The sequence below is a fragment of the Homo sapiens genome, chromosome 9 (genome assembly GCF_000001405.40).
Source record: "Homo sapiens chromosome 9, GRCh38.p14 Primary Assembly".
NCBI lineage: Eukaryota > Metazoa > Chordata > Mammalia > Primates > Hominidae > Homo > Homo sapiens.
Genome location: NC_000009.12, coordinates 34,441,496 through 34,469,176, shown reverse-complemented (window position 1 = coordinate 34,469,176; position 27,681 = coordinate 34,441,496). Strand labels below are relative to the sequence as shown.

Genomic DNA, 27,681 nt, shown 5'->3' with positions numbered 1-27,681 from the left:
TCATTTTTCTTTGGCTACTTCCAAGGTTTTAGTTTTATCTTTGGTTTTCAGTAGTTTGACTATAAAAGACCTAGATGTGGTTTTATTTGTATTTATCCTGCTTGGGGCTCACTGAGTTTCTGATAGTCCTATATGTTTTCCACCAAGTTCAGAAAACTTTTGACCATTATTTCTTCAAATATTTTTTCTTCCTCTTTTTCCCTCTGGCATTCCAACTACACCCATGTTCCAAATACATATATAATATATTCCATAGCTCACAAAGGCCCTCTCTTTTATTATTATTATTTTTTAGTGGAGCCTCAGTAACAGGGCACCTGTTTTTTCTTTTTCTTTTCTCTTTTTTTTTTTGAGACAGGGTCTCACTCTGTCACCCAGACTGCTTTGCAGTGGCACAGCCGCAGCTCACTGCAGCCTTGATCTCCTGGGTTCAAGCTATCCTTCCACTTCAGCCTCCCACATAGAGGGACCACAGGGGCATACCACCACGCCTGGCTAATTTTTAAATTTTTTGTAGAGACGAGGTTTTTTTTATGTTGCCCAGGTTGGTCTCAAACTTCTGGGCTCAAGTGATCCTCCCGTCTCATCCTCCCAAAGTGCTGGGATTATAGGTATGAGCCACCATGCCCAGCCAGGCTCTCTTTTTACAAGAAAAACAAAACAAAACAAAACAAAACAAAACCTTCTTGGCCGGGCGTGGTGGCTCACGCCTGTAATCCCAGCACTTTGGGAGGCCAAGACTGGTGGATCAGGAGGTTAGGAGATCGAGACCATCCTGGCTAACATGGTGAAACCCCGTCTCTACTAAAAATACAAAAAAAAAAAAAAATTAGCCAGGCGTGGTGGCGGGCGCCTTAGTCCCAGCTACTCGGGAGGCTGAGGCAGGAGAATGGCGTGAACCTGGAAGGAGGAGCTTGCAGTGAGCCGAGATCGCGCCACTGCATTCCAGCCTGGCAGACAGAGCGAGACGCCATCTCAAAAAAAAAAAAGCCTTCTTCCTCTCTGTTCTTCAGATTAAATAATTTCCATGGATCCATCTTCACATTCAGCTGTTAGGCCTATCCAACGAATTTTTTATTTCTGATATTGTATTTTTCTACTGTTTCCATTTTTCTGCTTAGATTCTCCATCCGTGCATCCATTAAAACAATATTTCCTTTATGTCCATAAATATATTTATAACAGCTGCTTTAAAGACATTGCCTGCTAATTCCAACATCTGTGTTACTCCCTGGTACTATCATGCTCTCCTTTGGATCTACCTCTCTGAGCCATGATCAAGAAATTGTCCTTAGGCAGAGAGCAAGGGTAAATGTGTGACTCACGTTGAGTGTTTTCCTTCCCTCAGGAATCACTGTCCTATGTTGTCTATTGTCCAATACCGAAAAACATTAGTGTCATATATTGTGTCCAGGCTTACTGCTGTTTACAGTGTGAGGGAAAGTCCAGTGTAGATTTCTGCACCATGGCCAGAATATAAATCCCCTAAATCAAGGTCTTTAAGGTTATATATATACTGCATTTTATTTATTTATTTATTTTAGAGACAGGTTCTCACTCTGTTGCCCATGCTGGAGTGCAGTGGTAACAATCATAGCTCACTGGAGTCTTGAACTCTTGGGCTCAAGGGATCCTCCCGCCTCAGCCTCCTGAGTAGCTGGGACTACAGGTGCATGCAACCTGGCTAATTTGTGGTGTGTGTGTGTGTGTGTGTGTGTGTGTGTGTGTGTGTGTGTATTTGTGTAGAGATGGGGTCTTGCTGTGTTGTCCAGGCTGGTCTCAAACTCCTAGGCTCAAGTGATCCTCCTGCCTCAGCCTCCCAAAGTGCTAGGATTACAGCCATGAGCCATCATGCCTGGCCTGTGTGCTGTATTTTAAAATTCATTGCAGAAATGTGCTATTTTTAAAACCCTATAGTAAAGGCTTTTGTAAAGGACAGGACCTTTTGTAATGTAAATATCAGCCCTGAATGAAAGCATTGGACTAGAAGAAATCTGAGGCCCCTGAGGCCCCTTCCCGCACAATTCATGAGAAAGAGATTTACCAGAAACAATATGGAAGTTACTTTAGAGTAAAGCGAGTTATATCTTCCACTGGAGGAGCTGAGCAAAGAGAATACCTCCTTCTAGCTTTGGTTGCTTAAAGAGCCATAGGATCTTGTCCCTTGCTGACATTGCCTAGCATGAACAGATGAGCTAGGGTCAATCAGATTCCCTCCTTAAGAATTTGAACTAGGACTACAGGGAGAACCAGCAGTTGGATGGAGATATTCATGGAAATGTTTGTGAGGTAGAGAGGTCAGAACAGTTATGATAAGCTGGAAACAGACTAAAATTATGAGGGAGCGGAGACCATGGAAATCTGGCCAGTTGGGAAATAAGAATAAGAATGAAACATAGTTGTTAAGAGAAATAGAGAGGCTGTGAGAGATGTGGAGAAAGTAGTTGGTCCCTATACCTGTTTCAGAATTAATTGTTTTCCAATTTCAATTCTAGGTTATCTATGTACTTATAATAACCATCTGTAACTCCCCACATATATACCTTCTCCCTTCTCTCATCCTCTTTTATCTGAGGTAACTTGAGTGAGCCTCTGTTCTTTGTAACTTAAAGAGCTTAACTAAAGTAATGTGTCTTAGAGTTTGCCAGGTCTGTAAAGGGCAGAAAGAGAAGAGAAGACTTGGGCATTCCATGCAGAGGGAACAAAATAATTAACAAAGACACAGAGGCACAGAAGCAGATGACTCTCCAAGGAGCAGCAGATTATTTTGTCCATATACACTCCAGTTTGTTCCCAAATAAGATTTGAGGCTGAATACATGACACATTGAGAAAATAAGTAAATGAGCAAATGGATGTGATGTAAGAATAAAAGTAGAAAAATAAGCTTAACATTAGGGGTAGGGTCCCTACATAATTAATAGGATTAGGCTGCTTTAACTAGGATAAAGGAGGCATGAATTGCTTCTTCTGCAGGCCAAGAAAGAAAAGTTAGTGTTCAGAGTAGTGCAGTACATACCTTCCCATCACTCATTTATTCACTCATCAACTAACTCATTCAGTCATTATTCATTCATTCAGCATTTATTAAGCATCTACTATGTGCCAGGTCCTCGGATGACGGCTAAAGAGGAACCAAGATTGAGTTGGTTCTCACACCCAGGGTTCTCAATCTAGGAGGTGAGATAAATGGAGGACATAAATCCACCATACAAACCAGAATCCAGTGACTCTATGAGTAGGACAAAGCGTTGTGAGACTCAAACCAGTGAAACTAAAGTTACAACAGCTGTGTCCTTTGCTTGCTTCTTGCATACAACTCTGTCAGTGCTCAGTGACTGCAAAGATTGAACACTTGATACAAATTCCTAACTGGCAGAAAACAATTTCATGTGGCTTGCTCACAGCTGGAGCCAGAGAGTCAACATTACTCCTCAGCATCAACTTGCAGGCTGCAAAGCCCAGCAACGAGCACAGGAGCCCTCTGCCATTATTATTTGAGTACCTGGCATGTACTGAGTGCTAACAATGTGCTAGGCCCCCTAGTACACAGGGGAGGAAAACAAATTCTGGCCTCAAATGCTCACAGCTGTTTTGTAATCTGATAATTGTGCATGACAAACCTCAGACCATAACTCTGAAAATAGCATGACTATAATCATAACAAAATGGAACTGCCATTGGCAAAAATTGTTTTCTAGTTATCACTTCCAGAAGGAATTCCATTAACACAACTAGGGGAAAAGAAGAAAAAACTGTCTCAGCTTTCTGCTGCTAAACCTCAAAATTATCATCAACTGCATCCATCCCTTCTCCTGTCCTGTTACAAAGTGTGCCTCCTCCTGTCCACAACATCATCTCCTCAGAGACTTGGCTCTAGTCATTATTTAATCTTTCTCCTTTATCTTCAACTTCTCTCTCCGTTCAGGATCCTTCCCCTCAGCATTTAATATATTCAAGTCTGTCATCTTAAAAAAACAATCTTTGCCTACATAGTTCTTACTGCCTTCTTAGCTCAATTCAGTTTAGCTTTTCACTCTGAAATTGTCCTTTCCAAGGTCCCCAATAACTTCCAAGTTATTAAATCTAATAGTTATATCTTAGTGTTTATCTTCATTGACACCTTAGCAACATGCAACTTGGCTGACCATACAGTTTCACTGAAACACATTCTTCCTTTGGCTTCTGGGATATTATTTTTCCTTGTTGTCTTCTTACTTCTCTGATTACTCCTTCTTATTCTCCATTTTGGACTCTTCTTCTTCTATCCAAACCTTAAATACTGGTGGTCCCCCCAGAAGTCTTCCCTAATTCCCCCAGAATCAGAATGAAGACCCCCTACCACATGCTTCCATAGAACCCTGTGCTACTTCCCCAACCACAGTTGATCACTCATTCAACATTCATCAAGAGCTTCTGACGTCATCATGGCCACTGTTTTAGGGGCTGAGAATACAGATATAAGCAAAAACATCCACAGGCCCTGCTCCCAAGGAGCTCACAGTCTAATGGGGGAGACATACAATAATCAAATAATTACACAAATAAGTGAATAATTACAAACCGTGATGCATGCTATGGAAGAAAGGAACACAGAGCAATGAGACTATATAACAGAGGAAACTTACCCTACCTTCCATAACGGGGCAGGGGGCATTGGGGGCAGGTTGTGGGGATTGATTTGGGGGCTGAAATCTTAGGAGTGAGTACATGTGTGAGGGAGGGTGTGAAAAGCATTCCAGAAAGGGGGCAGCACATAGAACTAAGGTACAGCAATAATGGAGAAGAGTGGTACAAATTAAGGTATAGAGACCCAGGTAGGTCTCAGGCCCATTCAGGTCTCTGGAGCGATTGTCTAAAAATCTGGTCCCTATCCTAAGAGCAATGGGAAGTCACTGAAGTGTTCTGAGTGGGGGATGGCACAATCAGATTGACAGTTTGAAAAGATCACTTTTCATGCAGTGTAGAGAATGGACTGGAAAGGGCACGAGTGAATGAGGGAAGACTAGTTACTAGGCTTTTACAGCACTCTTTGGTGAGAGACGATTGTAAGCTGGGCTAGGGAGGTGGCAGTGTATATGAAAAAAAGTAGTTTAATTTGAGAGATATTTAAGAGGTAAGGGAGTAAAAGATCATATCTAGGGCTTAAGGAATATATGTGTAAGAATGACACTGAGGTCACAGGAGTGAAGCTATCTTACTTTGGACATACAGAAACACATCAACTTCCCCTACATTCTGTTCACCTCCTATCTTTTCATCTGTGGATACCAGGCCCCATCACCAGGCTCAAAATCTCTGAATCATCCAAGACTCTCTTCTGGCCTTATGCCCAACCCTGCCCACTCACTCCTACCTTAGTCACCCCTAATCTAGATCAATATTTCTAAAAGTATTGCACCATAGGAGCCTCTTGAGAGACCACAAAATGATCCAAAATGAAAGTCTTTTCTTTGGCTTTTACAGGAGAATGATGTAAAATTCCAGACTTTGATTTTTTTTTTATGGTAACCAACTGAGTTATAAAGAGGTACTAAAATTTGTTAGTCATAAACTAAAATTAGCTTTTAACTGGAGTTCACAGAAGATTCTAATTCGGTTTTCTACTAAGAAGTTTAGCTGCCAGGCAATGTTTGGCAACGCTGCAAAGCTCCTCCTGTACATGTATACATGCAGCCAGTTGGCACTCTCACAATTTTCAGGAAGGACGCTTTGCTATTGGGGCATTACCAGTGATGTTTTGAGCTGGTCATGGTTTATGGTTCCTGACATTCAAGCATTTTAATTACAAATTATGATTTATGGAGCTCCATAATGACCAATTTAATATGCCATGGGTTATTTGATTAACTCTATAGGGTAGGGGAAGGTACCTCTTTGACCTTATCTCCTGCCACATTCCCCACTCCCTTCCTTGCTGATCCAGAACATGTGTAGCAGGCTCCCATCTCAGGGACTTTATACTTGCTATGCCGTCTGTCTGGAATGCCTCCCCTATCCCCATCCCTTCACCCCACACCCTACCCCCGGGTATTGCATAGCTCTTTCATTTCCTTCAGGTCTTTGCTCATATGCCACCTCTGTAACACCTTCCCTGTCCATCCTATTTAAATGATAATCTTGTGATTCCCTGAACTTCTTAGTCTACTTCTCTGATTTAGTTTTCTTCTTGGCATCTATCACCATCTAATATACTATATATTTTACAAATTTATTTATTGCCACTTTACCTCCAACTAAAAAATAAGCTCCATGAGAGCAGGGATTTTTGTTTGTTTTGTTTCTTGCTATATCACCAATACCTAGAACAGTACCTAACACAGAGTGGGTACGATAAATAATTACTGCATGAATATTTACACATCAATATTTTTATCTCTTAGTCTCCAAAACCCATTTCTTAAGGCATGGATACTTGTGGTTCAAATTTGAATCATTCATAGCCCTACTGCCAAAGCAGATACAAACATGTACCTGGAAAACCATACTTACACAGTTACATTTCCTTGTTATAATTCCCCACAAGTCTCCCCATCCCAGCTTCACCCCTTCCCATCCTTCGAACACATTCAGATGATAATTTCCAAGAACAACTTAGGGCATTCAGAATTCATATTGAACTCATTTTCTTAGAATTTAATATATTCCAGGTATTGTGCTAGGTAGAGGGGAATCAACAATGAACAAGACAGACATGATCCTTACCATAACATAGTTTATAGTCTAGAGGGGATATCACCCTATCCTGCCTCCAGAAAGGGGACTTAATCCTTTGTAGAAGAATATGAGGGCCAAGCTTAGACCCGAAATATGAATAGGATATGAAGGAAAGATTTGGGGTAGGGTGGAGTAGACTAGTAGACACAGACAGAAAAGATTTCAAAAGCTTAGAGGAGATAAACAGTGTGAATATCACTTTCCAGGAAGTGAGGGCAGTTCAGTTTGCTGGGATTGTGGAATTTTCATAGAGAAATGGTGAGGTTTGAAGTAGGATGGGTAGCAAAGGCAAGACCATGCAGGGTGGCAAAGGCCATACCAAGCAAATTGGACTTTTGGGACTTTATCCTGAAAGCAACAAGGAACCATTAAAAGGCGACTAGTGGAGTGATATGAACAAATGGAATTTAAACTCCTCTCTATCCTCTAACAAACCCAACCCTGATCTTCCCTCACCCCTGGCAACCCAGTCCTACCTACCTCCTCCCTGAAGCCTTTCTGCTGCTCTAACCTGCAGGCTTCTCTCCCCTTCATCCCCAGGGATCCCATCCTCCTTTATCTTTTTCTGCCTGTGTTCTGTCTCCCCCATTGAACTGAATTCCCAGAGGACAGGGACAACTTCTCAAACATCTCTAGGACATCCCACACCTGATTAGCACTGACTCAAATTGGTCTTCACTGAGGCAAGAAAATGGTAAATACAACCTAGCACAACCTAACCTTTTCTCACACCCCACACGCCAATATTTACTCTGAACTAAAACAACCCTTCCCTCCATGGGGCAGTGCTGATGTGTACGGGGCCAGTTGACCCAGTTTTTTCTGCTTTCTGTCTGCTGTCACCTCTCCCTGCTCTCAGTGTAACTAGTCTCTAATGTCTCCCTAATGGGCTAGAGAAACCCATCCCCAAGCTTGTTCAAACTGCAAGTTGCTAGAAAAGACAAATTGAATCTGTAATGACAGAAAGCAGATCTGTGGTTACCTAGGCAGGCCAGGGGTGGGGCATAGGAGGTGGGATGAGGCACAGGGAACTTCTTGGGATAGAGAAAGTATCCTATATCTTGAGTGTGGTAGTGGTTTATACGTGTGTAAATTTGTTAAAATTTGTCAACACGTACAACTAAAATGGTACATTCTATTATATGTAAACCAAACCTCAATAATGTTTATTTTAAAAGCAAACTGCTGGGGCACGGGGGCTCACCCCTGTAATCCCAGCACTTTGGGAGGCCTAGGCCTGTGGATCACCTGAGGTCAGGAGTCCGAGACCAGCCTGACCAATATGGTGAAACCCCGTCTCTACTAAAAATACAAAAATTGGCTGGGTGCGGTGGCCCACACCTGTAATCCCAGCACTTTGGGAGGCCGAGGCGGGCAGATCACGAGGTCAGGAGATCCAAGACCATCGTGGCTAACACAGTGAAACCCTGTCTCTACCAAAAATACAAAAAAATTAGCTGGGCGTGGTGGCAGGCGCCTATAGTCCCAGCTCCTTGGGAGGCTGAGGCAGGAGAATGACGTGAACCCAGGAGGCGGAGCTTGCAGTGAGCCAAGATCACACCACTGCACTCCAGCCTGGGCGACAGAGCAAGACTCCGTCTCAAAAATAAAATAAAATAAAATAATAAAAAAAAATTAGCCAGGCATGGTGGTGCATGCCTGTAATCCCAGCTACTTGGGAGGCTGAGGCAGGTCCCTTGAATCGGGGAGGTGGAGGTTGCAGTGAACCTAGATTGCGCCACTGCACTCCACCCTGGGTGACAAGAGTGAAACTCCGTCTCAAAAATAAAAAATACAAAAATAAAAAATAAATAAAAGCAAACTGCCTGTAAATATAGGGTCAGGAGGCTCAAACACAGTACATGAACTTCAACGTAAAGCCCAACCCCAACATAAAATTAGGGCATGTTCATATGGGACTAGCAGCTTCCCCAAGGCTGCAGAGACCTAAGAAAGTCAGGTCCATCTGCTACAGAAGCCCAGGTAAAAGAGGCAGAGGAGCAAAGGCTAACATGGAGGTGGCCAGACCAAAATATGCAAAGTCATAAGTAGCATGGAGATTGGCTCTCTAAACCTCAATGTACCTAGACTTGAGTGGGGTAAATCTGGAATAAATATATAGAAGTCCTGCTTTCCAGAGCTAGAAACTACACATTAGCCTGAGTGGTAATTCATAAAGGGTTTGGAAAAAGTTCCTGAAGGACTGAGTTGCTTCACCACAGAAGACTCCTTGGGAAACTGGGACTGCCTTGCCTTCCGTGGTGATGCTGAGGAAGAAAGCAGAACTCTGTGCTCAGTGGGTTAAGTGGGGGATGACTCGGGTTTCCTGTGAGAAGGGATGACATCTGTCCAGGTGGTAATAAGAGCATAATGTTCACATAGCTGAATGAATCATAGGAGTGGACCAGGGGCTCGCAGGGAAGAGAGAGATATGAGGCTCTAGAAATAGTTGGGGCAGAGTGTTTGGGTTGTGCACTGTGGGGGTGAGGACAGGGATGAGAAAAGGGCCTCTCTCCTCTTCCTCTTTGCCTGCCCTTTCTCTCCTCATAAATCTCCCAGCACAGAAAATAAAATCACACTCCTGCACATAGCCTGTCCTGTATTCTGTTTAGTTCTCTTGCACACCCTCTGTGGGCTCCCAAACAGCAAGAGCTGTGTTCCCACCTAGCCTGGAGCTAGGCACACAGCAAAGGGTTGGATAAAGAATGCCTTTGAGGCTGGGCGCCGTGGCTCACGCCTGTAATCCCAGCACTTCGGAAGGTCAAGGTAGGAGGATCGCTTGAGCTCAGGAGTTAGAGACGGGCCTGGGCAACATGGGGAAACCCCGTCTCTACCAAAAACACAAAATTTAGCCGGGCGTGGTGGCCTATGCCTTTGGTTCCAGCTATTCGTCAGGCTGAAGTGGGAGAATCGCTTGCACCCAGGAGGCAGAGGTTACAGAGAGCTGAGATGGCGCCACTGCATTCTAGCCTGGGCTACAGGGCGAGCCTCTGTCTCAAAAAAAAAAAAAGAAAGAAAGAAAGAAAAAGAAAAAGAAAAATTCCTTTGGGACAAGAATGTGAGAACAAGGAGGAAGGGACTCGTGGGAATGGGGATGGGGAAGTTAAGGAGAATAGACTGGTCAGAATGAGTCCATGGGGTAAAGTGAAGTGAAGAGATGGGAATGGTGGATAAAAGGAGAGAGGTAAGAAACGGTGGATTGGGGTAGTATGGGAGAGGAGGCCGGGATTAGTGGGAAAGAGTAGGACAGAGTCAGAGGTCAGTGGGAGCACTTACCAGAGGTCACGGGGGTGAGAAGGCTGGGGTCAACAGAGAAAAGATCAAGGATCAGTAGGAGAGGTATGATTAGTGGTCACTGGCGACGACGAAGGTCAGAGGTCATCAGAAGGAAGGTGTGCGTACGTTACCTGCTTATGAGGCTGTTTATGGGGAGCCTTCGCAGAAGCAGGAATCATCTCAACCCCTGGAGAGCCTACAAAACGCTCCCTCGTCTGAAGACAAAAAGTTTGTCCGTCTCCTTGACCACACACAAGAAATCTGGACTCTCTTCCACTTCAGTTACCAGTCGCAACGGTTCTTTAGGGACAGCCGTCGTTGTGGGTCCCCGTGCCCTTGCAGGATAGAATCCAACTCCCTGACGCGGTTACCCAGCAACCGACCAGCAGCCAAGGCGCAGGCGCTTCGGCGCGCCCAGCCGGCCCGGAAAGGAGGCGGGGTTGGGCGCGCGGCGAGCGAGTCTCCACTAAGCCCCGCCCCCTCAGGAATCACAGCTGGGCGGCCGCGCGCATTCGGAACTCCCGCATGTGGGTGGGGCTGGGGTCCCCAGGCACCGCCTCCTCATGAATAATGCAAGATCCGGGCGGTGTCCCGGACCCGGAAGTGGAGTTGCCGAGTCACCGCAGTGGCTGAGCTGCTGACAGGAGGCGGCAGCGGAGTAGGAGGCGAGGCAAGACCTGCGGCTCGGCCCGGCCACAGCCGCGGTAGTGCTAGGCAAGCCCACGGAGTCACGCCGGCCTCAGCCAGTCTGCGAACCTCTCGCCCCCGCCCACCCCTGCATCCGCCCGGCCCCTGCCCGCCCGAGTGGTCCGGGGAGGCCTAGTCTGCACCACCCGCCGGGCTCCTGGGGCCGCCGCCCCGCGCGGTCCTGTCGGCGTCCGCGGCCGCGCCCGGCCCCTGGCCCGCTCGCCCGCCGGCACCATGATGGAGGAGATCGACCGGTTCCAGGTGCCCACCGCGCACTCGGAGATGCAGCCGCTGGTGAGGGGGCGGGCGGCGGGCAGGCCAAGGCCGGAGGGGGCGTCGCTTGAGGGGGAGGGAGGGAATCAGGCCGGGGGGATCGTGCGGAGGGGCGCCATCGGATGGGGCAAAGAGATCCCTGAAAACGTATTGCCGGGGGACGGGGACTTGCAGGACAAGAAAACCGTGGGAGAATATGCTGGATGAGAGCAAAGGGACCTGTAAGGGCGGAGGGCACCGTCGGTGGAAGCAGGGCACCGTCGGATGGAACGGAGGGGGCACAAAGGTGCACACCGCTAGTGGAGGCCCATAGCAGGGACTGGCGAGGGAACTGCCATGGGGCACCGCCGGCGGCAGGCCCAGGGGTCTGGGATGGGAGGTGGGGAGGCGTTTAGTCCTAGAGGCCTGTGATGCTTAGGGCGGGGGAGCCGTCAGGCTAAGAGAGATTGGGAATCAGCTTTTAGAAGAGGAGGGGCTTGCCCGCCTGTCCGCTGGATATACGGACAGGAACGCTGGGCCGGGGCGAGGGACCCAGTGGGGGAAGGTGGTTGGTGCAGAACCTGGGAATTCCGTTCTCCGGTGGGGAGCGCAGGCAGACCAGGCTGGGGGCATCTAAACCGGGAAGGAGAGTGCGCGGCGACCAGATGGGGAATCGGGGTGCAGATGAGAGTGCTCGGGAACCGACGGGAGAGGAAGTGGGGTCGCGCTGGAGCTGCCTGTGCGCACTGGTTGGGAAGAGCCCCCATCATCTTAGGCCTACGTGCCTGAAGTCCTTGCTGGGCGCGGATCCTGCCGCCTGTCCGCGGTCCCGGAGTCAGGGAGGAATGATGTCATCGCTGCTGGCGCGGAGGGAATGGAAGGGGGAGGGCAACTCGGGTGCACCGAGGCTAGGCCTAAGGGAGACCATGCTTGCTGGCCACCGCCCAGGGGGCTCCCTGACCTCGCTTGTCTGTCAGGCAACCGGGTGGGAGACGTGGAGGCCTAGCCAGCTCGTATAGTGAGGGGGGAAGAGAGGGAATGTCTAGGCTGTGTTCGCTTTATCCCCCTGGAGCCTGAGCTGGAATTGGAAGGAGGCAAGGTGGGCTACAAATCCGAAAGTGTGGATGCCCCATTTCTCTGAGCTGTGCTGGCTGGAGCAGAGCTGAGTTCTCCAAGTTCTGAAGTTCTGCTTCTGTGTTAGGCAGGGTGGCCAGAAACAGGTCTACCCTTGGGCCTATAACCCCCTGGCTGACAGATGTGCTTTGTAGCTTCCTGGGCGAGTAACCTACCCATTACAGCAGCCAAGATGGGCCTCGGCAGGGACCCATCACCACCTTTTTGTCACACCTTTTGAGGGATGGTAGAGAGAATCATTAGTGGCCACTTAGCAGGAGACAAAGGCTTTTTCCCCCTTTCATGACTGCTTAGACAGTTCTAAGAGCCAAAACAAAGAAGTTTTACAGAAGCATACAATATTAAACCGGAGAGAGGTGTTGCAGGACTTTTTCCTAGCCTCATGCCATCATTGGATTATTTGGGAGCCAGAAAATCCTGGAGAGAAGTCCATCCCATGAACTTAAAGAAGGACTTTGGGCTGGCTGAAGATAATTTTCCTTTCTGAGTTCTCTTTCTAGCTAACCTGGCTTGTCAAACGAGATTGCCCTTCCAGTTCTAAGCATCTAATCAAGAATCAAAATAGAGGGTGGATGAAGGAAGAGGAGGTTCAAGTGTGTCAGGAAAAGGAAGCAATGAGTTGTTTCTTGTCACCCATCTGGGGTTCTCAAAAAGGAAGGAAATAGCTGTTCAAGGAAAGGGGAGAAGAAATAGAGCCACCAGGCTCTCAGTTGTCCTTGGTGCTTCTGTTATTGCCTGAAATTCTGAATAGTGGTTTGGCTGGGTAGAGAACTCTTGAGCTGCTTCCGGTCTGTGTGGCCCTGGAGTTGGAGAAGCATCTGTGGCAAGGAGGCACTTAGAAAAGCTCTGACTGCCTTCAGACCCCTTTAACTGCTAAAGTCACCCTTGTGCAAGAGAATACTTTTTTTTCTTTTTTTTTGAGACAGGGTCCCTCTCTGTCACCCAGGCTAGAGTGCAGTGGCACGATCTTGGCCCAATGCAACCTCCACCTCCTGGATTCAAGCGATTCTCCTACCTCAGCCTCCCAAGTAGCTGGGATTATAGGCCCCTGCCACCACGCATGGCTAATTTTTGTATTTTTAGTAGAGACAGGGTTTCGCCATGTTGGCCAGGCTGGTCTTGAATGCCTGACCTCAAGTGGTCTGCCTGCCTCGGCCTCCCAAAATGCTAGGATTACAAGAGTGAGCTGCTATGCCCGGCCTGAGAATACTTTATTGAGTTTGAGTGAGAGCCTTATGGAAATAGCAATATAGTCATCCCTCATTTGAGGGTCATAGACATTGCCCCGCTTCCTGACCTCTGTCCCCAGGTTGTATTCCAGAGGCACCTCAAAACCCTTTAAATACCCTGTGTATTGTTGAGACCAGCAGAATCTTGTGTGATGTTTCTTCAGGAGTCTTCATTTTGGGGCATAAAGAATTAAGATAGTCCAGCCTGGGAAACACAGTGAGACTCCATCTCTACAAAAATATTTAAAATTAGCTCAGCATGGTGCTGCATGCCTGTAGTACCAGCTACTCAGGAGGCCGAGGCAGGAGGATTGCTTGAGCCCAGGAGGTTGAGGCTGCAGTGAGCCGTGTGCCTACCACTACATTCCAGCCTGGGCAACAGAGCAAGACTCTGTCTCCAAAAAAAAAAAAAAAAAATCAAGATAGCATATCATAGAGGTAAAGGGCAAAAAAGAGGGCAAAGTGGCTCTTTAAGGGTATTTGGATAGGCCATAAAAACCAGGGTCCCAGGCTCAGACTTAGCTATGACCTATTTCATTTTTTTGCCATTTATTGAGACCTCTAGGAAGTCTCTCCTCCTTCCTCGATTGTTTTTCCATTTATGAGATGAAGACAAACTATCTCTTTAAAGTTTAAACAATAGCTCCTCACTCTCCCTTCTAAAGAATACCACAGAGACCTGATATCATTGATTCAGCAATTGGTTTACCAAATAATTATTGAGCATCTGCTCTGTCCCAAATATTAAACTGAGTATTAGGGATAGAGTGGTTAGCAACACAGACACAGATGTGACCCTGCCCTTGAGCCCACAGTGTGTCAAAGTTTGTTTCTCTTGCTCACTCTCTTAGTGTGATCCTCCACTGAGGGCAGAGTAGGGGCTGACTCATTAAGCCTCAAGGGAGCCAGGCAACGCTGGTGTCATCATCATTGCCCCTTTCTGGACCAAGCTGTATGGATAGAGGCTTGTCACATGGGCGCCATCATCAAATAACTCTCCCCATCCCATAGTGATGGGAAGAATCCAGAGGCCATTGCCTACTTGGAAAGATAAACTCTAGGGGGAGCACATCTTTATTTTTTTAATTATTTAATTGAAAGAGAAACTCAGGCTTGAAAAGAAGGCCTGGGGGCGTGGCAGAACTGGGAGAGAAGGCAGCCAGCAGATCTGGGTGTTTCCAAGGTGCTAATTTAAGCATTAGATCTCAGCTAGTGGGAGGAAGAGGAGGAGATCCCTGCCCTGTTATTGCTGCTGCTGTTGTCACAGCTGCATGGAGCCTCCTGTCTCTGGTGGGAGTTTGCCTGAAAGGAGTGGCTTCCCTCCTTTCCCCATCACACCAATTATTTAATTGGCCTTGTTGCAACTCAGCAGCTGAACCAGGCCTGGTCTATCCCTGAGAGCTCCCCAGGGTCTCTTCCTGTCTCCTTTATTTTTTCTCTCTCTTTTGAGACGGAGTCTCGCTCTGTTGCCCAGGCTGGAGTGCGGTGGTGTGATCTTGGCTCACTGCAACCTCTGCCTCCAGGGTTCAAGTGATTCTCCTGTCTCAGCCTCCTGAATAGCTGGGACTACAGGCGCATGCCACCACGCCCAGCTAATTTTTGTATTTTTAGTAGAGACAGGCTTTCACCATGTTGGCCAGGATGGTATCAATCTCTCGACCTCATGATCTGCCCGCTTTGGCCTCCCAAAGTGCTGGGATTACAGGCGTGAGCCACCGCACTTGGCCTCCTGTCTTCTTATGAAAGGAGTGAGAGCTCCTCTTAGAGACCTATCCACTGGACTCCATTCCTGCTGTATCTATCTTTCAGACAATCCTGAGTGTTTCTGAGCACAGATTCTCCCAAAGAAACTGCCAGGGATAGGCACATTTTGTGTGTCAGCTCTGTGTCTGAGCCATACACCTCACTGATCTAGAGAAGTTCCCAGCAGCCCAAGGCTCTCTGTTGATCAGTTGGGTTGAGTTCGGTATATTGTTTGTATGAGAAACAGGGATAGGCTCTCTGGCCCTATTGTCTGTCTGCTCAGCTTGTTGGTGCAGCCGCACAGTCTATGTCTTCTCTTCGGCTGCAATTGGAGAGGAAGAGATTTGTTTTAAGAACAAATGGAGCTTTTAAGCACTTAATTGTGTCAGGCAACACCCTGCCTCCTGTGCTCTCAGGGACCAAAGAGACTTAAAGAATGGCAAATGGCACCAGATAGGGTCTCTGCACAGCTGAAAGAAATGTTACTGTAGCGTCACTGAAACCAGGTTATCAGTTAACTCATTTGTTTAGTTCACGAGCATCTACTCAGATCAGGTACTTTAAGGATACAGGGACAAGTAAGATCTCTCCAGTGGGTGGCCAAGAGAAGGATGGGCTCAGATGGCTATAGGAAGGTTTTTAGATATATGTCAAAAAGAGTAGAGATCAATGAAGTGTCATGAGAAAGAGTGACACCCTGCTTTGGGAGAGGGTGAGGAATGCTGAGATTCTGACTCTGACTACATGAGCTTGGGAAGGAGTTTCAGACTCCTACTGCTTCCTGACACTCAGGGATGGATGGGGATGGTCAGGACGGGACATTAATTCAGTGGGTAGGCTACAGCGGCTCCTGAAAGTGGCGGAGAGAACATTATAAAGATAGCAAGTAGCCACTGTGGAAAACTGACCTATATATATTCTATGTTCTGGGCACCTTAAGTTGCCTCCTTGTGGTCAGATGACTTTTCAGTTTAAGGGTGGATTCTCCTAGTGGATCCATGTGGCTCATGACCCAGCAGTATTTCTCAGGCTCCTGGGCAGAGGCACCCTTCTTTCCTGCCCTATATTACAAACTGAGGATCAGGTTTGTTCAAGCCTGCAGCTCCTTACTACTCATCTCCTCATCAAACAAACACCAAGTAAGAACCTATTCTCTGCTAGATGTTGTTCTGGGCTCAATAGCACAGAATTTTGCTCCAGGGAGATGCACAGTCTAGAACTCAGATTGAGGCACTATAGAATAGTGAGCACTGCAAGAGAAGAACCAGGCCCAGGAGCACCAAATGAAAGCAGGAAGGGCTCTCATCGAGTGGTCAGGGAAGGCTTCATAGAGGCCCTAGGAACTGGCCATAGGAAGAGTACTAGAAGCTTGGCAAACTGACAAAATGAGGCTAAGCCAAGAAAGGGCATGGAAGAAGAAACAAAGGAGTGCATTTGGAATGAATGAAGAGTTATAATTAAGGGAATAACATGATCAAATCTGAGTTTAGGTTAGTGGTGGATGAGAGATTGGAGAAGATGAGATTGGAAGTTGGAAAACGAATACAGACCTGGGTGTAATAATTCTGCTAGGAGATAATGAAGGCCTGCAGAAGCAGAGAAACACGATGGGACAGATACACAGATACTAATAAGGTGGAATAGGCAAGATATGATATCTGTTGGGAGGCGGAATGGAGAGGTAGAGAATTAAGGATGACTCTCAAGTTTGTGGCATGGACACCTGGATGGAGGAAGAGACCATCATCACCTCGGGAAACTCAGGAGCCCATGTACCTTTTGGTCTCAGGGACTTCTTATAACAGAGAAGGCTGCTGTTTTCCTTTGCTCTACTGCTGAAGCTACATTCTTGGGGTTGTGAGGAATCCACAAGTCCTAGAAAACCAAAGGTCAGAGTGGCATTTGTCCCCCCTCTGCCTCAAAAGGGCTGCTGAGAAACACGCTCATCTGCCAGTGAATACTTCTCCCCTGCAACCTGCTTTGATGAATTCAAGAGAATTGGTGGTAGCAGCAAGGAGCCATAGTGGGTTTTGTTGTTGTTATTTTCTTTCCAGTAGCACTTTGATGAATAAAAAATAAAATCCTTTGTTGTCTGAGTGCTTTATGTTGCAGTTTCTGGCTTTGCCTTTTACCATCGTTCTAGTCAAATCTATGGGTTTTTTTCTGACTGATTGAGCTGGGCTCTTTCACTGATTCCTTCTGGAATGTATATATGTATTACTACATCACTGCAAGATGTCAAAATGGAAAAGGACACGTACTTTCCTTTTCTGAGACCAGCCTGAAAAGCTGCAGTTGGGTGGAAGCAGAGCCCAACCGTTTCTTCCAGGCAAGGTGTACCAAAGGAGCAGAATTCTGGGGTGAGATCACTCAGAGGTCACTTGGCTTCTCAGAGGTCCCAGTGTGGCCTCTGTGGGTAGGTGCTTCTGTGGTAGCTGGGGTTCAGGCTGAGTCATTCCCAGCCCCAGCTGCCTGCTGCCCTTGACTGCCTATATAGCCCAGAGTGAGCAGAAATGGAAAACAGGCTTCTTCACTCAAACCTGATTAGTCTCAGGGACCCTCTCACCTCCTTAAAAAGGCAGGTGGAGCCTCGTGTCTGGAAAGGGAACATGGGAAATTTAGCTTCTTGGGCTTAGCTGCTTCGTGCCTTCCTAGAGACCTGGGAGAACTGGTTCAGGGAGCTCCAGAGCGTGTGGAAAGGGGAGAATTGGGCTGAGGCAGATAACCAGAGGTGCTGGTTGAAGGAAGCTAGAGGTGTGGCTCAGCAGGGTCCCAAGTCATTGTTTCTTAAATAGGCTCTGATGGGAATCTGGCTTTCTGGGCAGGAGAAAGGAAGGAAGGAAGGAGGGGAACCAGCTCTGGATTTGAGTCTGCTCTGGAGTTTAGAAATTGGCACATGATCCACAGGCCTCACTGTGGGACAGCCAAATCAACTTCTGGCTGCAGGGAGGGACTCTGGAGTAGGGAAGTCATCTAGGAAAGAGGCCTGTAGCATCTGGCCTGGGAGAGAGGGTAGACACATGCCCGCAGGAGTTTCCTCCTAGGCTTTACATTCTCAGGAGAGAGTTCAAGCAAATCTGTACTTGTATTTGTTGTTATTATTGTTATTCAGAGATAGCAAATTGAGGATCGGATGGTTTGGTTATTGAAGGTCAATTTTAAGTTTCTGTGATGGCGGTGAGGTATGTGAGTGTGCATGCAAGAGGGGACATACAGCTATGAATGGTGTTTTCTGAATGACCGTTCCAGCCCTAAGTCTAAACATATGACAAGAGGCCACACCCAGGCAGAAACAAGACCAGTGACTGTGGCTCCTTGCCTGGTTTTGCCTGATTTAGCCATCAGATTCTTGGCTGTTATAAGCAGAGTACATCCCATCTATCGAGAACAATACCTGAAGGAGCATTTTAAGGTTTATTGAATTGGCCGGGCGCAGTGGCTCACGCCTGCAATCCCAGCACTTTGGGAGGCCGAGGCGGTGGATAACCAGGTCGGGAGTTCAAGAACAGCCTGGCCAAGATGTTGAAATCCCGTCCCTACTAAAAATACAAAAATTAGCCGGGCATGGTGGTGGCCACCTGTAATCCCAGCTACTCGGGAGGCTGAGGCAGAAAATTGCTTGAACCCAGGAGGTGGAGGTTGCAGTGAGCTGAGATTGTGCCACTGCACTCTATCCTGGGTGACAGAGCAAGACTCCGTCTCAAAAAAAAAAAAGATGTATTGAATTAACTACATGCAAACTGTGGAGTGAGAACCACATATATTTCACCACATAAACATAATTATGTACAAGGTATAAATTATAGTTCCCCCCACTTTTTTTTTTTTTTTGAGACAGGGTCTCTGTCACCGAGGCTGGAGTACAGTGGCTTAATCTTGGCTCACTGCAAACTCCGCCTCCCAGGCTCAAGCGATCCTCCTGCCTCAGCCTCCTGAGTAGCTGGGACTACATTCACGCGCCACCATACCCAGCTAATTTTTTGTATTTTTTGTAGAGAAGGGGTTTCGCCATGTTGCCTAGACTGGTCTCAAACTCCTGAGCTCAAGCGATCTATTCACCTTGGCCTCCCAAAGTGCTGGGATTACAGGTGTAAGCCACCACGCCCGACCTAGTTCCCATATTAATTTCCCATTTTATCCTTATGAAGGAATTGGTGAAGCCCTTGGCCACGCACCATGCACGGTTTAGACCAGCATTTCCTATAGTATTCTGTTAGGAATATTGATCCTTTGGGATGCTTCATGAGGGAAAAAGTCTCCGTAGAAAAATTTCTTTGGGAAAGACTATATGCTCTATCCCATCACAATGCCCACTGACGTTTTAAAGACTCTGAGATATCCTGCAGTAAAGGAACCTTTTCAACTTTGTTTAATTCAGTGTTTCCCAAGCTTATTTAACTATAGAACCTTTTTTCATGTTACATCTGTTAACATCTTACAGAACCAATGTGTTTCATGGGAAATACTCTTTGGAAAACTTTAGCTTAGAAATTAGTATCTGTGCTGATCCAGTCTAGATTTATAGTCTTCCTAGTTCTTTTAAATGTCTTTTATAACCCACACCATTTTGCCCTATGCTAGTTAGTGTCTAATGGGATGTTGCTGATTTGTTTCAGGGTCTGAACTTGCTATTAGTAGGAAGCTCTTGGTGAACTTTGGTTAGGTGCACAGGCAAATACCAAGTGCCTTGTTTTTCTCATAATATTTCTAAGGGAGTTTTATTTCCCTTATGTCCCTCTACCAAATGCTGGTTTGATCCTTATTTTTTTTGGACAACTTTATTGAGATATAATTTATATATTGTATACACTAGCCATTTAGTACTTTACTGTTTTTTGAGACACAGTTTCACTCTGTCTCCTACAGCCTTGACCTTCCCCAGCTCAGGTGATCCTCCCACCTCAGCCTCCCAAGTAACTAGGACTACAGGTGTGCACCACCATGCCCAGCTAATTTTTGTTTTTTTCTGGTAGAGATGGGGTTTCGCCATGTTGCCCAGGTTGGTCTCAAATTCCTGGGCTCAAGAGATCCACCTGCCATGTCCTCCCAAAGTGCTAAGATTACAGGTGTGAGCCACTGCACCCAGCTAGTACTTTACTTTTAAACCAGTGTGGCTATCCCATGGCTGAGGTTTTTTTTTTTTTTCCGATAGTTTTTGGGGAACAGGTGGTTTTTGGTTATGTGGATAAGTTCTTTGGTAGTAATTTCTGAGATTTTGGTGCACCTGTCACCCAAACAGTGTACAATGTACCCAACATGTAGTCTTTTATCCCTCATCCTTCTCCCACCCTTCCCCTGTGAGTCCCCAGAGTCCATTATATCATTCTTATGCCTTTGTGTCCTCATAGCTTAGCTCCCACCATGGCCTAGTTCTATTTCTCATTTTTACCTTGGGCTGTGCTCTATGCTTTTATGTTCTGCCAAGCAGTAGAGAAGATAAAGATAATCCAAATCTTTTATCAGGAAGAATCCCATCTCAATTGAGATTTAAGGTGAAAAGTGGATTCCCCGATTAGGGGATGTTTCAGTACTTCCTCTGCAGTATCAATAAATGTTCTCACTGTTCACAACAGCTCAAGAAACATTCCTGCATAATTATTTTATACCCTCCTACTCCACAGGCTACATAAAGCATGGATGATAAACAGGCATTACCCTTCATGCCAATGCCCCTTGATCAGTAGTTGCTGCCTGGAGCATTGTGTTAAGATGGATGCTAAGGTGGACTCCTGGTTCCATATGAAAGACTGACATGGTTTGGTTGATTTTCCATGTCTGCTATGGTCTTCAGCAGGGGGAACAACAGTTCTAGTATTCTGGTTGCCATCCCAGCGGCCCTGAATCATCATAGTTATCTTGGGCAAAGAACACAGGAAAGGGGAACTCTTGGGGATGTTAGCCAGCCAAGCAATCTGTTTCACTGAGGGGCTAAAGTCTTATCATATGGCTCCTTAAGAAATGAATAAAGGGGCCAGGTGCAGTGGCTCATGCCTGTAATCCCAGTGCTTAGAGAGGCCAAGGCGGGAGGATTGCTTAAGGCCATCAATTCGAGACCAGCCTGGGCAACATAGTGAGACCCTGTCTCTACAAAAAATTAAAAAGTAGCCAGGCATGATGATGCATGCCTGTAGTCCTAGCCATTAGGGAGGCTGAGGTGGGAGGATGGCTTGAGCCCGGGAGTTCGAGGCTGCAATGAGCTATAATTGCACTATTACACTCTAGCCTAGGCAACAAAGCAAGACCCTGTCTTAAAAAAAAAAAAATGAAGAAAACTGTTTTTTTCTACTTGATCTTCAGCACTGGTTTCTGAAGTATTGAATTAATATAAAGTTTAAAATCCTTTTGAAATAAATAGGCCAGGTGAGAGGGAGTAACCTGGACTCTGCTGAGCAGATAAGAGGGGGAAAGAAGCAGATTCAGGAAAAGATCTCATGAATTTCATATGAGTGGTTGGCCACACTTAATATGAAATTATAAGCCCTTGACCAAAGAAGCAAGAAGGAATAGGCTACAAGAAGAGACCCATAAGCCAGAAGTCACTGGCGAGGAAAGGCCCTATTATAGGTTATACAGCCTTAGCGCTCTTTTGTTTACCCAGGCTAAATAGGCCTGCTTTTTCCTTTTACCATTTCCCGGGACACTGGCTTCCAAATTCGCAGTCATCCTAGCTGCCCTAGTGGATACTTTTAGGTTTCTCACCCCTGAAACTGAACACAGAGCTGTACATGTGATCTGCACAGCACAGATTATTGTGGGACTGCCACTACCCATAATATTGATATTGTACTTCTATTATTGTCAGTTGAGCTTCCATGATCATATTTAATAACCATACCTATTGTTATATTGAACTCAGAACATATCTGGAACAGAGCAGCCCTTTCCCTTAGCAGTGTAAAATCAAGGCAAGAACCTGGAATCACATCTTGAGCTAGGCTTACTGCCAATACAGGTTAAGAGTCCACTGAGGATAGTGAGATGATGGTTCCACATTTGTTAGAAACTACACTACATGTGTGTCATGTGACTCTTATTCTCAGAAAGGTAGCTGGCTGAATTCAGCAAGACAGAATTTCAATAGGAATCTAGGGAGGCTGTGTGATTGGAGAAGGTAGGGACCTTTAAAGCGAGCTAGTGCTTGAGTGGACAGAAAGCTTAATATAAGTCCACTATATAACAAAGCTAATGTGCTGTTGGACTACATTAATAGAAGCATGGAATTCAGTTCCTAGGAGGTAATCATCCTACTCTGCCCTATTCTGTAGTGGTCATCACCATCTGAAGTCCTCCATTCTGTACTGATATCATCATTCAAGAGATTGGGTGACTAGAATAATGAAAGGAGTCAAAAGCATGTCATGTGAGAATAGTTAGAAGAACTGAGCTGTTTGGCCTATGAATAAGCAGTCTCAGAGAAAGCATTTTGAGGTTTTCAAATACCTAAAGGACTGGGATTAGGAAAGAAAAGGAGGATAGTCTTCATGTTATCTGTAGCTTCACAGGGAGAACCAGAGCCATGGTGGGAATGTGAATGTGTTCTTACCTCACATTCTCTATGGTATCAGTTCTTAAACTGGGCCAGAGGCCAGGGCACCAGGAAGACACACTGCTCTGTGCAAATGTCCTAGTCCTTCCAAAGTAGGTGCTAGGAATAATATTCTAGCAGTAAACATGGCTCTGTTATGTGTGTGTACTATAAACGTGTCCAAGAATCCACTGTGGAACTTAGCACAAGCAGCACTTTTCTAGTTTTCTGAGAATAGGTGTTTGCTAATGTTTTGTATATATCAAGGCCTGTCACAAAAGCACCATCTTCTTCATGCATCCCTTTCTATCCTTCAGTGAGATGTGAGCTCTCCATTTACCTGTCCTGTGGCCCTAATACCTTGTCATTGTGTAAAGTTTATGGGTACAGTGTCTTATCCCTATCTTTAATTCCCCCCGCCCCGCATTTTTTTTTTTTTTTTGAGACAGAGTCTCGCTCTGTTGCCCAGGCTGGAGTGCAGTGGCACAATCTTGGCTCACTGCAGCCTCTGCCTCCCAGGTTCAAGCAATTCTTCTGCCTCAGCCTTCCGAGTAGCTGAGAGTACAGGTGCACACCACCACACCCAGCTAATTTTTGTATTTTTAGTAGAGATGGTTTCACCATGTTGGCTAGGCTGGTCTTAAACTCCTGACTTCAAGTGATCTTCTTGCCTCGGACTCCCAAAGTGCTGGGATTACAGGCATGAGCCACTGCACCCAGCCTATCTTTAATTCCTTTTTAAGGTAGGTGAAAAGATGTTTCCAAAGCACCTGAACCATCTCATTAAGCAGATTAGGAAAATCATTTTGCCCACTTTATAGATCTGCAAGCAGACTCCCAGAAAGGTAAACAGGCTTAGCCACTACCCAGCTGGAGGTTGGCGTGGCCTAGATTAGACCCTCCTTCGCAACTTGGAACCCAATTAAGTTCTTCTACATCAGGCTTGAACTTCTCCACTGGCTTTTGAGGCATCTACACTAGGCTTTTACCCCTCAAAGCTGGCCATACTTGCTACCATTCAAGCCAACTTTCTTTCTAGTAAGTCCAGCCATGTCCTTCACCTTCTTTCACCTATTGGCACCTTGAGGCCTCCTCTCCTCTTAACAATTCTCTTCTGCCCATTTCACTCATACACATTCTTCAGAGATCAATATAAACTCCCATTCTTCAGAGAGCTTTCCCTGAATATTCTAGTGAGCTCTTAACCAATCCCTAAGCCTCTATAACCTCTAGCACATAATTTTATACAAATGATATTCTGGTTTAGGGTGTCCACTTTAATGTGCTGTGAGTCTTGTCACCCCAACTCCCCTTTGATCTCCTTGACAAGATAGCTTCTACCTCTAGAACTTACAGACTGGTGAAGAAGATACTTGCTCTTATGAAACAGAACTACAGAAGAATACAGCTGGCTCCTTTAAAGATGAGTAAGAGTGGAAAGGAGAGGAGGTTGGGAGGTTATTCTAAGGAGGGGAACAGCAAAGACCTAGAGGGGGATGAGTAGGTGAGAATTAGTAGAGTGGAAGCCACATGTTGGGGAATTAAGGGAGATTCAGGGGAATACAGGGATGGGACATTCATTCATTATTCAAATAACATCTTTTGAGCATCTGCTATATGCAAGACACTGAGCCAAACATAGGAAGTAAAATGATGAATAAAGCAAACATGGTACCTACCTTCATAAGCTGGCAATCCAGTAGGAGAGACAGATACTAAACAAAGTGCACAAACACAATTACCAACTATGACAAGTGATAGAAAAGGCAAGAAATGCAGTAGGAAAAGAGAGAATAATAAATTATTCTCTTGTGGATGTCAGGTAAGGCTGCTATGAGAAAGTGATGTTTGAACTCAGACCACAGGATGAGAAGGATTTTGTTCTTACAAGGAGTGACGTGCTCCTGGCTCCCCAGTGGGCAGGGGTCCCTAGCTGAGTTAGCAATCTGAGTTCCTTACAAATTGGCCTTTTCCCATCTTCTCCCTTTGCAGCATTAGGTACATTTTCAGAAGTAAGGGACGTAGAATAATGTAAGAAGGCCAATCCAGCCCCTCTCCCATTGGTAGCAGAGCTGATAACTGTGCCGTCAGCTTTGTTGTGGGGGCTGGAGAAGCTATTAATGGAGTTGTAAGCTTTAATATTTAATGAGGAAAAAACTTAGTTTTGCTGATGAAGAGCTCCTACCTGAGTCTTCCAACATTATATGACCTGTACACATCCTCCTGGAAATGGAGAAAGTCTCTGGGGATCTTGGAGGAAAGGAAGAGTGCCAGCCTGGATGTCCTGTTCTTGGTGTATCAGGCATAGGTTTCTCCTTACCACAAAACCCAAATGTATAGGTCATTCTCTCTGGGGACAGACTTGCCTCTGGTGGGAAAGCCAGTAGCCACATTGGCAGGCAAATTGCAGCAGCTGGTGAAAGGGGCCTCCACTGGTTCTCCTATGAATGCCAAAGCTGTTCCCTGAGGATTTTAGCTTCCAGAAAGTCCTCTCTGCTCTCAGCTGACATGCTGCATCCAGCTCTGGCCTAGAGGACTCAGTGAAAGGCCAAGTGGGGATAATGATATGGGGAAGTGGTAGTAGCTAGTGGTTTAGGGAAGGGGAGGGAGAATTATGTGGAGTCAGGGAGGGAGACCAAGTTGAGGGTTGGTATTTAATGTAGCAGACATTGGTACCAAAGGGAACCAGTCAGAACCAAGATTTGACCATCTGTTAGCCTCCCTATCAACTTCCTGATGGAATCTCATATTTCACATCCTTCATTTGCCATGGGCTCTGATACAGCAGAGAGACAGTCACAGGAAGCTCCCACAGGAGGAATTGGTTTGAGTATGCTTGAGGGGGTGGGGAAATTAGGATAAGCCAGTGGGGGGCACGGGCCTGAGGGCAGGAGCTGTGCACAGCAGTGGTAAGTAGGCTGGGTATATCCTAGCTACTATCACTTTTGTTATGACCTTTGGCCAGCCTCCTAACCGCTTTCAGGCATTTGTAAAATAAATAAGATCATGTATGTGAAAATGAGCTGCAAATTACTATATTATTTCTGGTCTAAGGGTTGATGATAATGAAAGGGTTGCTGATTTTCTTTTTCTGTCTGTAATTCCCAAGGGAACTTTTGTGGGAGAGAGTGAGGAGATGGGTTATTCTTCTCATCACCAAATGAGAAGAGTCTTTGGCCTCCTTGACAGGGCTGTGGTGAGGCCAGGCTGGAGAAGGACCTGCTCTGTGCTTTCACTGATCTCTGGAAGAGATTCCCATTGAGTGGGGCTGGGCTGGGGGACGTGTAGAGGGCGGCTGAGTCTGTTAGCAGAGTGGGCCTTCCTGGAGATCCCCACCATTGGTGATAGTGGAGGGTGTCCTACTGCTGTTTCGGTTCCCGAAGGTCAATTTTCAGGGCTCACGAAACATATGAAAAAGTCAACATTGCTATTATTCTCCCCAATGTCAGTGGGCTAGAGGAGGCAGATCCAGATTGCTCACTTCCTTCACATTTTTTAATGGTTTGCCCTGGAAATCTTCAAACACATACCCCCTAGTACTTGTCACCCAACTTCAACAGCTATCAACACAAGGCTAATCTTATTTCACCCATACCCCACCTACTGGATTATCTTGAATAATTTAATATTTGAATATCGATTTAATTTAATGTTTGAATATTTGAATTAAATTTAATAATTTAATATTCAAGATAATCCAGTAGGTGGGGTATGGGTGAATAATCATCTATAACATTATACTATCTCTAAAAATGATAATTTTCTACATAACTACCATTATCACACCATTACTATCTTTAACATAAATACCATTATCACCCCTAAAAATCCTTTAATTCCTTAACATCTTAAAAATTGGTTGGTTGGTTTGAATCTGGCTCACACATTGCATTTGGTTGACATGTCTCTTTTTTTTTGTTTTTTTTTTTTGAGACGGAGTCTGTCTCTGTCACCCAGGCTGGAGTGCAGTGGCGTGATCTCGGCCTACTACAACCTTTGCCTCCCAGGTTCAAGCAATTCTCCTGCCTCAGCTTCCTGAGTAGCTGGGATTACAGGCACGTGCTATCATGCCCGCCTAATTTTCATATTTTCAGTAGAGACAGAGTTTTGCCATGTTTTCCAGGCTGGTCTCAAACCCCTGACCTCAGGTGATCCACCTGCCGCAGGCTCCCGAAGTGCTGGGATTACAGGCGTGAGCCGCCATGCCTGGCCTGATATGTCTCTTTTAATCTGTAGTTTCTCCCACCATTTTTTCTTTTCTTGCAATTTATTTGTTAAAACACAAAAACAAAAACAAATAAAAAGTTCAGTCCTTTGTCCTATAGAGTTTCCCACAATCTGGATTTTGTTGACTGCATTCTTGTGTTGTTTTTTATCCTATTCTGTCTCCTGTATTTTTGCAAATTGGTAGTTAGATCTCAAGGTTTGATCAGACTTAAATTCAACTTTTTGTAAAGAATCCTTCTGAGGTGTGATGTGTATGCCACAGTTTACCTTTTGAGGTGTGATGTGTATGTATTTCATACCAGGAAGCACATAACATATGTTTATCCTATTTTTTGTGGTGTAGTTAGCCTGATCTCTCCACTATAAAAGTTGGCTAGGCATAGTGGCCTGTAATTCAGCACTTTGGGTGGCCAAGGCAGGAGGATCACTTGAGGCCAGGAGTTCGAAACCAGTCTGGGCAACATAGTGAGACCCCATCCCCATACAAAAATAATACAAAAATTAGGCATCGTGGCATGCACCTGTAGTCCTAGCTACTTGGCAGGCAGGAGGATTGCTTGAGCCCAGGAGGTCGAGGCTGCAGTGAGCCATGATCGTGCCACTGTACTCCAGCCTGGGTAACAGAGCGAGACCCTGTCTCAAAAATAAAAAATAAATAAAAGCCCCCTTCAGCCTTTCACCTAATGTTTTTACAGCCCTTGACTGTCATTGCCTTGATTCATTATTCCATCAGGAATTTCCTTCACATTTGTACAGCAAAGAACCCTGTTAATTCTCTGCCTTCATACCCCCACAGGTATCACCTGGTCTCGGGCCCTCTCTCCTTTAGGTCTGCTTCTTCCACCACTGCTCTTATCCTGTACCATCATTTGCTTCCTTATCAGCCCAAGAT

The 27,681-nt window shown here is 45.9% G+C and overlaps 2 protein-coding genes across 8 annotated transcripts in view, besides 6 other annotated features; one reads left to right on the top strand and one right to left on the bottom strand.

Moving 5' to 3' along the window:
• Positions 1 to 10,372, bottom strand: part of DNAI1 (dynein axonemal intermediate chain 1) — a 62,180-nt gene extending 51,808 nt beyond the window's left edge. For both annotated transcript variants that reach the window (NM_001281428.2, NM_012144.4), the window contains exon 1: positions 10,124 to 10,372. In NM_001281428.2, the coding sequence (NP_001268357.1) occupies positions 10,124 to 10,171 (48 nt within the window). In that variant the 5' untranslated portion in view covers positions 10,172 to 10,372. The remainder of the gene's footprint in view (positions 1 to 10,123) is intronic.
• Positions 10,246 to 10,315: an enhancer, noted in NCBI's record as "active region_28310". NCBI's record gives its function as "activates an Ori minimal core promoter by ATAC-STARR-seq in GM12878 lymphoblastoid cells {active_cell/tissue: GM12878}" and the evidence as "EXISTENCE:reporter gene assay evidence [ECO:0000049][PMID:35858748]".
• Positions 10,246 to 10,935: a biological region, named in NCBI's record as "OCT4-H3K27ac hESC enhancer GRCh37_chr9:34458366-34458906".
• Positions 10,269 to 10,809: an enhancer, noted in NCBI's record as "OCT4-H3K27ac hESC enhancer chr9:34458366-34458906 (GRCh37/hg19 assembly coordinates)". NCBI's record gives its function as "activates a minimal SCP1, AML or CMV promoter by ChIP-STARR-seq in primed H9 embryonic stem cells {active_cell/tissue: H9 hESC(primed)}" and the evidence as "EXISTENCE:reporter gene assay evidence [ECO:0000049][PMID:30033119]".
• Positions 10,412 to 10,706: an enhancer, noted in NCBI's record as "tiled region #4178; HepG2 Activating non-DNase unmatched - State 4:PromP, and K562 Activating DNase matched - State 4:PromP". NCBI's record gives its function as "activates a minimal TATA promoter and a strong SV40 promoter by Sharpr-MPRA in HepG2 and K562 cells {active_cell/tissue: HepG2 | K562}" and the evidence as "EXISTENCE:reporter gene assay evidence [ECO:0000049][PMID:27701403]".
• The window catches only part of FAM219A (family with sequence similarity 219 member A), a 60,387-nt gene continuing 43,312 nt past the window's right edge, over positions 10,607 to 27,681 (top strand). For 4 of the 6 annotated variants that reach the window (NM_001184943.2, NM_147202.2, NM_001184941.2 and 1 more), the window contains exon 1: positions 10,607 to 10,973. In NM_001184943.2, the coding sequence (NP_001171872.1) occupies positions 10,914 to 10,973 (60 nt within the window). In that variant the 5' untranslated portion in view covers positions 10,607 to 10,913. The remainder of the gene's footprint in view (positions 10,974 to 27,681) is intronic. The other 2 variants (NM_001184945.2, NM_001184942.2) reach the window with 1 other exon arrangement.
• Positions 10,686 to 10,935: a silencer, noted in NCBI's record as "silent region_19846". NCBI's record gives its function as "represses an Ori minimal core promoter by ATAC-STARR-seq in GM12878 lymphoblastoid cells {active_cell/tissue: GM12878}" and the evidence as "EXISTENCE:reporter gene assay evidence [ECO:0000049][PMID:35858748]".
• Positions 11,941 to 12,441: an enhancer, noted in NCBI's record as "H3K4me1 hESC enhancer chr9:34456734-34457234 (GRCh37/hg19 assembly coordinates)". NCBI's record gives its function as "activates a minimal SCP1, AML or CMV promoter by ChIP-STARR-seq in primed H9 embryonic stem cells {active_cell/tissue: H9 hESC(primed)}" and the evidence as "EXISTENCE:reporter gene assay evidence [ECO:0000049][PMID:30033119]".